The sequence below is a fragment of the Homo sapiens genome, chromosome 18 (assembly GCF_000001405.40).
Source record: "Homo sapiens chromosome 18, GRCh38.p14 Primary Assembly".
Lineage (NCBI taxonomy): Eukaryota > Metazoa > Chordata > Mammalia > Primates > Hominidae > Homo > Homo sapiens.
Window position 1 is genome coordinate 78,659,337 of NC_000018.10, and position 12,522 is coordinate 78,671,858.

Sequence of the window (12,522 nt, forward strand, 5' to 3'; positions counted from 1 at the left end):
CCTGGAGCGGGGAGGGCAGGGGCGTGAGTGTTTCATTCTCTAGTTGGTGCTGCCATGTGCCCCATTGGTAGAATGACAAGCTGCAAGTCTTGACGTTTTAGCAATTAGAAGAAAGAGCCACCTGTTTAGGGCCTGACCCAGGGGTGTTTGGAAAATGCAGCCAGCGCCGTAACTAGCTGTCTCCACACAGATGTCACCCCATGAGAACCACGTCATCCCTGCACCCGGCTTCTCCAAGAGCCTTTGGCAAGAGCCATTGGCATGAGGTTGGGTGGTGTAGACCACATCGTGTCTCAGGGGGGCCTGTTAGCTGTTCCAAAGGACATCCCAGGACACTGTCCTATAGACCTTCCCGAGAGATGTCTCCTTTCTCCCTCAGCTCCTGGCACATCTGCAGACCACCCATGGGCTCTCCTCCACGAGACCTGCCCGCCGGGCACCCACCATCCCCCAGCTGTCCCTGGGAACTCCCCACAGCCACCCTGGGGCATGGGCTTTGTCTGCCCTGTCACCAGATGTTGGCAGGCATGGGCTGGACCACCAGCCCCTCCGGCAGACGGCTGGATGCCGGGACTTCCGACGTGGAGGCTGCGAGGCTGCGGCTGGCCAGGTGGTGGCACTGCTGCCCTGAGGCATCTGTGCCCACTTCCACACAGGCTCCTCGAAGGAGCCCACCAGGCAGCCCCGCGTCCCTGGACGTCACCCTCCTGCCCTCACCACTCCACCTGTGGTGTGCGGCACCCACTGTCGTCCTCAGGGCCTGGACATCAACCTGCACCTGTGGTGTGTGGCACCCACTGTCATCCTCAGGGCCTGGACATCACCCTCCTGCCTTCACCATTCCACCTGTGGTGTGCGGCACCCACTGTCATCCTCAGGGCCTGGATGTCACCCTCCTGCCCTCACCATTCCACCTGTGGTGTGTGGCACCCACTGTCGTCCTCAGGGCCTGGATGTCACCCTCCTGCCCTCACTGTTCCACCTGCGGTGTGTGGCACCCACTGTCGTCCTCAGGACCTGGACGTCACCCTCCTGCCCTCACTATTCCACCTGTGGTGTGTGGCACCCACTGTCGTCCTCAGGCCCTGAACGTGAGCCTCCAGCCATTCCCCATGGGGCTTCCCAGCTGCAAAATGCACCGTGCTGCTGAGGACAGCCAGGGAGGCTCCTCTCGCCACTTGGCCTCTCCCCACTGCAAGACAAAACCAGTGCCTACAATCGTTTCAGAGTCTCGGGGAAACTTTGTGATTTAAGACCTTGTCAATGCAACTTATCTTCCTAGTTCTTGTGGAAATGAAGTTTTCAAACATGTAATTGTGCCAGGCTACTGCCAGATTGCCAGGGAGTTCCGTTTTCTCCAGCTCTGAAAGCTGCATGTGACACTGCATGCCAGTCTCCCACCCGCTTTCTCACTGTGAGCGACGCCCTTCTCTCCCTCCTGCCCTCCAAGAATGCCCATCTTGCCCACACTAGCTTCAAGTGGCCTAAAGCGAGGCCCATCCATCCCACAGGACCGGGAGTCCCACAGCCTGCACTGCTGTGAATAATGCAGCTTCTCTCCCATGGCCAGTTGAGAAGGTCCCAGTCTCTCCAGGCCGCATGCACGAGGGCTTTGCTCCTCATGGTTTCCATCTGTCACATCACACGTCTAAGCAAGAAGTCATTGCCATGCAATCCGTCAGCGTTAGTTTTTTCAGCTAAAATAGACTGTGAGGCCCCTAAAGACAAGCCTGAGATGTCTCCTTCCTTCTGTCATCCATCCTACTAGGGAATTAGCACCACCAACAATGCGGGCAGAAAGAAATAGGACCTTGTCGTAGAACACGTCGCGGGTGACGAGAGAAGGGAACATATGTCAAGATTCTAAAATACATTGAAGCCTCCTGTAACCTGGGCCTCGTGTGTAACCCGTGTGATGGCAGCCAGTGTCGAGAAGGTTCACAAACCCCTCCCATCTGTAGCACACACTAAACCCACCAGCCAAAGCAGGAATGATGCATGGCTGTGCGTGAAGCCCCGTGATTATAGCAAGCGGTACAAAGACCCTCAAACTCCAGAGCAGAATGGAGGTCCGGCACCCACCCCAGCAGACATGGATAAAGGCACAGGAAGGTGCAGAACGGAGGTCAGGCACCCACCCCAGCAGATACAGTCACAGGAAGGTGCAGAGCCCAGGTCAGGCACCCGCCCCTGCAGACATGGATAGAGTCAACTCCAGTCTGGGGATGGCTGCCTAGTAGAACGGGTGACCAGGTACAGGATCATGGCCACGAGCCACAGGACCTCCTTGTCCCTCCTCCAGTGAGAGAATGGCCCGAACTCACCTTCCCTCAACCCACCTCCCACTTTTGTTGGGTGGAGCAGGAAGAGGAGGGAGTCTGGGGATCCAGTGTTGAGGGCAGCAGAAAAGGGTCTGAAATATATGGACTTGTGAATATGAGACCAAAGAGCTTCAAAATCTATTTTTGATAAATTTTAAAACATTGCCTCAGGAAGTAAAAGACCAACATATGCACCTTAGAGAGTTACCCTCTATAGCTACCTTCATTTCTTCTTTTTTTAATTCACAAGGAACTGTGTAGATCCATTAAAAGTATTCAAACAGGCCAGGCATGATGGCTCACACCTGTAATCCCAGCACTTTGGGAGGCCAAGGCAGGCAGATCACTTGAGGTCAGTAGTTTGAGACCAGCCTAACCAATACAGCGAAACCCTGTCTTCACCAACAATACAAAAATCAGCTGGGCGTGGTGGTGCACGCCTGTCGTCCCAGCTACTCGGGAGGCTGAGCCAGGACAATCACTTGAACCCGGGAGGTGGCAGTTGCAGTGAGCCAAGATGTCACCACTGCACTCCAGCCTGGGCAACAGAGCGAGACTCTGTCTCAAAAAATTAATTAATTAATTAATTAATATTCAAACTAAAACCCACCATCATAAACTACTCCAATAAGAAAATAACAGGAGAATTCAAAACAGTTCTGTCATCTGCCTGCATTTGAACAGAGAAGAAGCTTGATTGTCATTGATTTCCTTATAGCTTTGTACCAGAAAGAGGTACAGGTACCACACATTAAAGTTCAAGTAAAGGAACGATTGTTGGCCTGTTTGTTTGTGGAGGTGTCACGTGAATTGTATTTTTAAAATGCCATTGCAGTCAAGTCTTTTTCTCTTTCTTTTTCTTTTTTTGAGATAGGGTCTCGCTCAGTCACCCAAGCTAAAGTGCAGTGGCAGGATCATAGCTCGCCACAACCTTGAACTTCTGGGCTCAAGTGATCCTCTGGCCTCAGCCTTCCAAGCAGCTGGGAGGAAGGATAGAAATGAAAGATGCTGTGCAGATGCTTCTACACTCAGAGCTACCCAAGCTATAGAGGCCGTGAGATGTGATTCTCTCCCCCTTGGAGAGCTCAGAGGGCGTAGGTCCCCTGCACAAGTTCTCAGGCCAGTGACCCAGGTCGGATCCTCACCCAGCCATTCTGCACATGAGTGTGATCATGTGCTTAGCGTCGGGACTGGACATGTTAAGGTGTGTGGATGGGAAGTAAAGCCTGAGGGAGACCTGCCACACGTGACAGGTGTGTAAAGCAGAAAAGAGAGGCAACATCCAGAATGTTCTGTGGGCTTCACAGGGTCAGGCTAAGAACCTCCGAGTCATTCTGCAGCTAATGAGGAATCACAGGCCAACTCAGAGCCGGAGCAGCTGTGACCAGCCCTGTTCTTCAAGACAGAGATGGCAGGCACATCAGGGGCGCCATGCAGGGAAAGGGACGGGACCCCAAGGTGGCCGGCAATCAGGGACAGTATGGCCCTGGGGGAGGGCCGGGTGGGAGGCGCCCACCCCGCCTATGACCAGAGATTGAGAAAAATAATAACTGGGAAAAACACATACCCAACTTCTTTCTTTTCTTCTTATGTCTAGAATCTAGTCTGCAATAGCATTAGGATTTTATGTTAAGGTTCTCAACGAAAAGAAGTTAACTCCCCAGGATAATTTCACTAGGGAAGTCTGAGGACGCTGTTCTGTGTGCCAAGCAAACTCCTAACCTCAGCTAGGCTGGGCAAACTCCTAACCTCAGCTAGGCTGGGCAGATCCCAGCCTTGGTCAGCCTCTTCTTCAGTTCATCACCAGGCAGGCAGTAGACTGTTCAAAGTAAAGATATTATTTTCCCATAAGATTCCCATAAGACTTCTCAAAGTATAAGATATACAACTATCCCCGGATTTTTTTGCTTTTTGGTCTAGGAAATCCAATTTTAAACATGAAGTCAGGATTATAAACAAATCCTTCTGATGCTTTCTTCTCTTTGTTACCCCTCTCCCCATTTCATTGCTTACTTAGATAGGAAGAAATGCAGAAGGAAAGATGACAAGAAAGAAACCGTCTGGAGTTCACTTCAAGAGACTCGGTGTCTTTATTTTTGAAAACGATCAGAATCCAGGGAAGAAGCTGTGAAGTTGCCTGAATATGAACTGCAGTTTTGGCCCAGGGCGACTTTTCAGAGGATAAATACCCGGGAGGTTTAATAAAATGAGTGACAATTGTCAAAGGCTAAATGTAGAGGGATCTGCATACCAACAACACAGACACAGGAAATTTCTTACGGATCCTGGACCGTCCTCCTGTGGGGTACCCCGCACTCAGGTCCTCCATCCCCCTAAACGTCCGCTCTCAGGGGACCTCCTCACACACTGGCCACTGCTTCTCTCCTGGACACAAAAGGCCACTGTCCCGATGCCAGGAGGGTTGGAGGTGTGAGCAGCCTCAGAGGTGGACACAGCTTCAGGGGCAACAGGACACTCAGGGAAGAAAGAAATACGTAAACTCTCGCACACTCTCTGCTAGAGGAGAGTGCGGAGGTGACGGGCTCCCATAGCAGGGTGTGGCCCCCAGCCCCGCTCAGCTGCCTCCGCCACCGGCGTTCACTGGCCCCCATTCTCACACCCCAGCGGGTCATCCCAGAAGTGCTCAAATCCCAGCAGTCGCCACAGCAGCTAAGCAGCACTGTGCGCTCCTGAGAATGGCTGTCCTGGCAACAGGATGGAGGCTGAACGCTAGCATTGTAATCTTAGTTTATCAAAGCACTTCATTAAATTTCCCCCAAAATTCTAGAGTTTCAGCTGTAAATAAAATTAACAATTTTTATTTAAACATTTAATATGTTATCATCTGAATTGTACACTTTAATTTTAGTCATTTTGAAATATTTTATAAGAAAAATAACTTTGAAGCATTGCTGAATTTGCTTTTTTATTTTTAACATTTATGTTTTTGATAAAAACTATATTAAAATTTGTTATACCAAGCGGGTACAGTGGTTCACGCCTGTGATCCCAGCACTTTGAGAGACCAAGGCAGGTGGATCCCAAGCTCAAGAGATCAAGACCATCCTGGCCAACATGGTGAAACCCCATCTCTACTAAAAATACAAAAATTAACTGGGCATGGTGGCACGAACCTGTAGTCCCAGCTACTCAGGAGGCTGAGGCAGGAGAATGGTTTGAACCAGGGAGATGGAGATTGCAGTGAGCCGAGATTACACCACTGCACTCCAGCCTGGCGACAGAGCAAGACTCCATCTCAAAAAAAAAAAGAAAGAAAGAAAGAAAGAAAGAAAAAAGAAAAAGAAAAAAATTGTTATGCCTTGGATACAATATTTTACTTGTCAGTCCTTTAAATCAGGGGTTTCAAAATATTTGCTGAAAAGGCTGAGTCATCAATATTTTAGGCCTGGTGGCCACAGCCTCTGTCGCAGCCATTGACTCTGCAGAGCGGAGAGGAGGCAGCCATAGATGATACATCACAAAATGGGAATGGCCATGTTCCAATAAAACTTTACTTACAAAACAGGTGTCTAGTCCAAGGGCGGCTGACCCTGAGTCCATCATTACTCAATGGAAGATAACTTATGTGACAACTTTAATTATAAAAAAATAAGTAATTTCATTGAAATAAAGGCCTAACAAATACATTTTACATATTAAATATAAAATGATTAATGGATTGTCATATGTTTTTGTTATTATTCACCCAAAACTCATGGCCCTAGCAAGGAAACTTCGAGACGTGCTCCACTGTTATCAACTTGAGCTGTCTTTGAAACTTGCTGTTTCAGGCCTGTATTTTTTACATTTATTTTTCTATTTCATCATCATGATGGTCCACAGGTGAAGGCAGGAAAATAGGAGCATGAGACGAACCCGCAGCATTTAGCTGGGTCAGTATGGTGTTTGGCAGAAGCCGCGTAGGCTTCCGTGTGCTCTGTGATCCCGCCCTCCGACTGTGAGGAGTGCGCCTGTACAAAGGTTCAAACGCACTGTTTCCTGGGGCCACACTGAAGAAATTAACAGGAAGTCCACATGAGAAGTGAAACATTCTTCCCAGGGCACCGGACTTGTCTCTCACTGGTTTTGGGGCTCCTGCCTCCTCCAGTATGATGTTTTTCCAGAACTAGATCAAGAAGACCTAGAGCCGGATGAGCACTCAGCGAGGCTGTTTCCGGGTGTGTCTCACCGCATCACAGAAACCACCAAACAGGCGTCACCGTGGAGGGCATGTGGCTGGGAAATGAAACATAGTTTGCTTTTGACGAAGCCAAAGTCGGAAAATTAATTTTTCAATGTATATTTCCTCTCTAAGTCAGTCTTTGCCAATGAAATTTTGAGATAACTAGTAAATTCTCCCTTAAAATATTTCCCCCTCATAATGTGTACAACTGGCTGGAAGTGGATTCACGATGTTTAAGAAAATGGGCAAAAGCATGTTTCTACCAGGATAATTCAAACCTCGACCTCGCCCACTCCCCGAGCGGTTATTCTCGAATTCACACATGTGCAGTATTTTCAGCGCACTTTCGAATGAGGAAACCTGGAAATAGGAAAAGTGGCTTTTTTAGTAAGTATTTAAATACTTTCATTAATGCAAAAGAATCAGATAAACTAACTCAGCCTTCAAAATATTTTTCCCTGAATTATTCAATTTAACTCCTTTATGAAATTAAATCAAATAATTGACAAATCTACTTTTTTTTTTTAAGTAAACACCTTCCATCACAAGCTTTTATGGGAAATCTACATACATGATTTTAGAAGGTAAATTTCTAGATTTACCCAAACCCAAATTAGGTTTGCAAAAATTACCAAAAAAAAAAAAAAAAAACAAAGTTATTATTTCCTTGGTGAAACCTTAAAGCTAGCATCCCAAAATAATTTTAAGATCAGTAATTTTTTAAAAAACAATATCTGTCTTAAATAGTGTTTCCTACAAGCAGATCCTGAGAGGGGGATGTGGGACCACATGCTGTAGGGAAGAACCAAGAAGAAACCCCTTCGAGGGTGGGGTGTGCAGGAGAGGAAGGGGGGCTCCTGGCGAACTGGGTCTCAGGACAAATCCAGCCCAGAGCACAAAGCCAAAGTGCTTTTGCAGCTCGAACCCTGCTCTGAAGTGCCTTGCAGTCGGTGCTGGCCATTGCCTGGGCTGTGGGAGAAGAGGGCCTCCTTCTGCAGGGCAAGTGCCCTCGCAGGCCAAGGGCAGGCACCAGAGAACGGGCCTGGGCCGCCTCCATCCACAGCCACACTGTCCCTGGGAGGCAGGGGCAGCCAAGGGCTTCCTCAAGGAGAAAATGCAGGAGTCTGATGGAAGGAGAAATGAGAACTGGGTAGGGGACCGAGGTGGACATTGAACAGCGAAGTAGCTGGGGCAGCAGCAGGGTCAGGCACGGAGCAACCCAGGATTCTGAGAGGACATAGCTCGTGGAGGGGGAAGAGAAGGTGCCAAGTGGGTGAACAAGGCCGGATCCTGATGTGGGTCACCCTCGGGCCTGGAGTGGGGCAGGAGGTGGCACAGCAGGACTCACACTCAGGGTGGAAGAGCTGAGCACTGGGCACATACGGGCCCCCAGGCCCTCTCATAAGACAGGAACATTGGAAAAGACACACAGGAGAGGATGAGGAGGGGCTACTGTTCACTGTTTAACTAAAGTCACTTACAATTTATTCATCATACACTATAAATTGTTTCAAAAGTCAAAATTCAGTTCGATTCCAAGCCATAAGGAATAGGGAAATTGTTTACATACAAGAGAATAATACCTGAGTCCAAACTGAAATTCAAAGTTGCCTTTTTGTAAAAGCAAGGAACAAGTTACCGCCTAAAACATTAAACCTTAAGCATTTAAATAGCCTTTAGAAACATGGAGTGGAGAGCAAGAGGGGGCCGATGGGGCTGCCATGTTTTGAACGTTTGTGTCCCTCAAAAATCCATGTTGAAAGGGAAGCTCCGAAGCAGCAGTATTAAGAGGTGGGGCCCAGGAAGTGATGAGGCCCTGAGGGCTGCTGGAAGGAAGCAGCTGGGCTCTTCCCACCCTCCCCTTTGTCTCTCATCCTTCCCCCATCCCCCCCATCCGCCCTCCCACCCCTCTCCCATCCACCCTCCCACCCCTCCCCATCCACCCTACCCCTCTCCCATCCACCCTCCCACCCCTCCCCATCCATCCTACCCCGCTTCCCCATCTGCCCTCTCACTCCTCCCCATCCACCCTCCCACCCTTCCCCTTATCCGCCCTCTCATCCTTCCCCCATCCACCCTCCCAACCCTACCCCATCCACCCTCCCCCATCCACCCTCCCACCTCTCCCCTAGCCACCCTTCCATCTCTTCCCCCATCTGCCCTCCCATCCCACCCCCATACTCCCTCCCATCCGTCCCCAATCCACCCTTCCTCCCTCCCGTGTAAGGACAGGCTCTCATCCCCTCAATGGGATCCAGCAAGAGGTGCCATCTTGACACAGAGACCAAGCCCTCACCAACACCAAGTCTCATCCCCTCAGAGGGTCCAGCAAGAGGCACCATCTTGACACAGACACCAAGCCCTCACCAACACCAAATCTCATCCCCTCAGGGGCGTCCAGCAAGAGGCGCCATCTTGACACAGAGACCAAGCCCTCACCAACACCAAATCTCATCCCCTCAGGGGCGTCCAGCAAGAGGCGCCATCTTGACACAGAGACCAAGCCCTCACCAACACCAAATCTCATCCCCTCAGGGGCGTCCAGCAAGAGGCACCATCTTGACACAGACACCAAGCCCTCACCAACACCAAATCTGCCAGTGCTTGGATCTTGGCTTCCCAGCCCCCAGAACTGTGAGAGATAAATTTCTGTTCCTTATAAATGACCCAGTCTCAGGTGTTTTGTTGCAGCAACACAAATAGGCAGACACAGAGAGGAGGCACGAGCTGCTTCTCCCAGGCCCGGGGCTGGCATCCTCAAGGGAGCTTGATGCTGGGGCCCACTGGGGAGGGGTCATTTTCAGGGGATCCCTGGTGAGGTTTGCATGGAGCCAGCTTCAATCAGATGAAAATGACCAGCTCTTTCCAAATTTCCTACAGCAAGGCCTACCCATGACACTCAGCTTCAGCCAACTCTCCTGTCTCTTCAATGTCATGAGGCCACAAAAGACCCACAAATGCAAAGCAAGAGTGTTGTCTGATTCAACTCAGACTCTCCTGAACATGTGGAGATACAGGAAGGAGATGGATTGGAGATGTGTTTCATGTGAAAAATCAAAGATTCAATTAAGCTCAAATGGAAAGGAGAAAATTCAGAGGGAAGCCAAAGCTCTTTCCCCCGTTAAAACCTAAGTCCTTGGCTGGACACAGTGGCTCATGTTTGTTGTAATCCCAACACTTCGGGAGGCCAAGGTGGGAGGATAACTTGAGGCCAGGAGTTTGAGATGACCCTGGGCAACATAGTGAGACACTATCTGCAAAAAATAAAAAACGTAGCTGGGCACGGTGGGGGGCACCTGTGATTCCAGTTACTTGGGAAGCCGGGGCAGGACGATCTCTCAAGCCCAGGAGTTTGAGGCTGCAGTGAGCTGTGATCGCACCACTGTACTCCAGTCTGGGCAACAGAGTGAGACCCTGTCTTGAAAAACAAAACAAAAACCTAACTCCTCTTAGGAAACTATACCCTTTCTACACTAGATTTTTTTTAACAACCTTGTAACCATTTGCTCTCGTAATTTTTGCTCTGAGACTTTATTCCCAAATTATTCTGCAAAATCCTCTGTGATACTCAAATCATGAAAAAACTACATAAAAATGCTTTTCCCAAGGCATGATTTTCTATCAAAAGATTTGGAGCACGCAGAGTCCCAGACATTAAACTGCTCCCAGCATTGAAGAGCCCTCCTGATCTGGAGCAATAAAAGCATTTTTGTTAAAGTTTGCAAGACTCACTTTGAATGTCTTGCCTTTTGTTGATTGAAGCCATATTTCTGGTGTCATTTTAATAGTTTCTGTGTGCATTTTCATTATCTATTAAACTTGTAGTTTGATTATAGGTATAATGAATAATTTTTCTGTCATTTACATTCTAAAAGAAATGCATTCATGAAATAGCATGCAATCTGACTTCACCATAAATTCTCTTCTTCGACATTCATTTGGTCAGATTCACAAAGGCTTAATGTCAGATTATTATTTCTGGCATTCACTCATCAGCAACTCCCAAAAAAACCCCACCTTAAGATGTGATTCTCTGATACTCACACCAGAAATAATTATCATGACATCCGCTGGCTGATGGAGGCTTTTCATTTTGTTCTTCCACAACACATTTAGTCAAACGTGGGTACCAATTGCAAGATCACAGAAGCTGTATTTTTTGCTACAATGAGAGCATATACTCTTACTCAACAGTACTAAGGATTTAGTAGATGAAAAGGTGAGACTTACAAGGTCCACTTCAACCTACAGGGCTGAGCTATATGGCTGCCTTCCACACACCCCCAAGATTTCAACCTATTGCCTGAGAGGTTCGCTGTGGCCTAAAGTGAAGTTACATTAAAAGACTGCACAAAATAAAGTATCTACCAAATACCTTTTCTTTCTGGGTTAAATTCTTTATCTGCAAGGCTGGACTCAGCATGCTCGGGGGAATGAGTAGGTCTACATGAACGGTGAGCCTCCAGGAACGCAGCTTCTCCACAGATTTTATCTTTTTCACTTTATATTTGAATCAGAATGTACTGATGGGTGATCATTTGGATGCAGAAGTGCAAGATTCCACTCATTCTTCACTTCTCTCTCCTGAGATAACGGCCACCTGCCCATGCACACATGACATAAAATACATAATAATAAATACCAGTAGTAAAGAAAAATATTAACTTTTCTTAAATACTAGCTTTTCTTGTATTGTTTTCCTAAAAATGCAAACTTCTCTTTACAGCTTATGTAAAAGTCCCAGGAAATGTTAAGCAAAGTTTGAAGTGGAGGATCTTTTTTTCCTACCAAACACCGCCCCCTCCCCACCTCCATCCCTCCTTCCCCACCCACCCCACACCACCCACAGAAAATGCCTTGGTCACCTGGAGCCTGGGGCAGAGTTTAAAAGAGCAATGAAAGTTCCCAGTACCCAGAGGGAAAAAGAGCTCCCCTACACCCCAGGAAGTTTCAAAGATTCTCCCCAAGGAAAATCAGCCTGGAATACTCACCCTGAAGGTTATGGGCAGGCCGTACACCCCAGGAAGATTCAAAGATCCTCCCTGAGGAAAATCAGCCTGGAATACTCACCCTGAAGGTTATGGGCAGGCATGGAAGGCCCTGTCTTTCCAAACCCGCTGTGGCAGGGACGGTGGGGAGAGCTGTGTTCTCCTCTTGGAAGGCGGCTCGGTGCTGCCCACTGCTGTGGTCCGTTTATCAGCCCTGGAATTGGACATTAATTAGCACTTTATTTGCTGTTGTGCTCCTTTTTCTGCAAATATTTCCTCTGAGGCCACAGCAGCCATTTCCTGCCCTTTCATCTTTCCCCACTCGTAATTGAACCCTGGGCCTCCTCACCTGGGGACACTGAATAGCCGGGCGGGGGAGGGAGCTTGAAGGGAGGCCCGTCTTCTCTCTGATCACAGCAAGAGTGAAACCTGCGCAAGGGGGCTCCTGGATAAAGGGAATAAAGTTGAGATGTGACAAACTGAATTCTGCACGCTGCGTGTTTTTAAGCAGGGGAAGCTTAGGAGTTTGGCATTTTCAGTTTGGGAGGCGTTCATACTTGCAGTTGTGCCGTGGTAGTAAATGGAAACAGTGAACAACACTAATGATGTGGTAACAGTGTCCCAGGCTCACTTTCCACACCCCTTCCACACTCAGGCAGCCTGGCTTCAGGTGTTTCTGAGAGGAGATCCAGGCTGAGTGTGTTCAGGGCATCCTCAGAGACCGCACGGCTCTCGGGGTGGGGGCAGCTGGCTTTTTGGACCCAGGAAGTTGAACCCAAAGTTACACTGGCCTCGAAATGAAGGAACAGCACATAAATAGCTCATTAAGAAGGTCACAGAGCCACAGCAACCACGCAATTGTCAAACGCAGTGGAAGTGGACCCGCTGCACAGATGGACACCCGTCACATGGACTTTCTGGGCTTGCAGGAGGAAGGTCGCAGACAAATGCTCTGTCCATGGTCCATGAAGCCACGTGGTCCTGTGTCGTACCCCGGAGCTCCGAGGGTCCTCACGCATCCTCTGGAAAA

At 48.8% G+C, this 12,522-nt stretch overlaps 1 long non-coding RNA gene across 1 annotated transcript, besides 1 other annotated feature; it reads right to left on the minus strand.

Moving 5' to 3' along the window:
- Nucleotides 261–762: an enhancer, noted in NCBI's record as "H3K4me1 hESC enhancer chr18:76419597-76420098 (GRCh37/hg19 assembly coordinates)". NCBI's record gives its function as "activates a minimal SCP1, AML or CMV promoter by ChIP-STARR-seq in primed H9 embryonic stem cells {active_cell/tissue: H9 hESC(primed)}" and the evidence as "EXISTENCE:reporter gene assay evidence [ECO:0000049][PMID:30033119]".
- LOC124904330 (uncharacterized) lies at nucleotides 4,383–11,104 on the minus strand. The gene is made up of 2 exons (XR_007066423.1): nucleotides 10,880–11,104; nucleotides 4,383–6,864 (listed from the first exon to the last, which is right to left on the minus strand). It is a non-coding gene; the product is annotated as an uncharacterized LOC124904330 (long non-coding RNA).
- Between the last annotated feature and the right edge of the window lie 1,418 nt (nucleotides 11,105–12,522).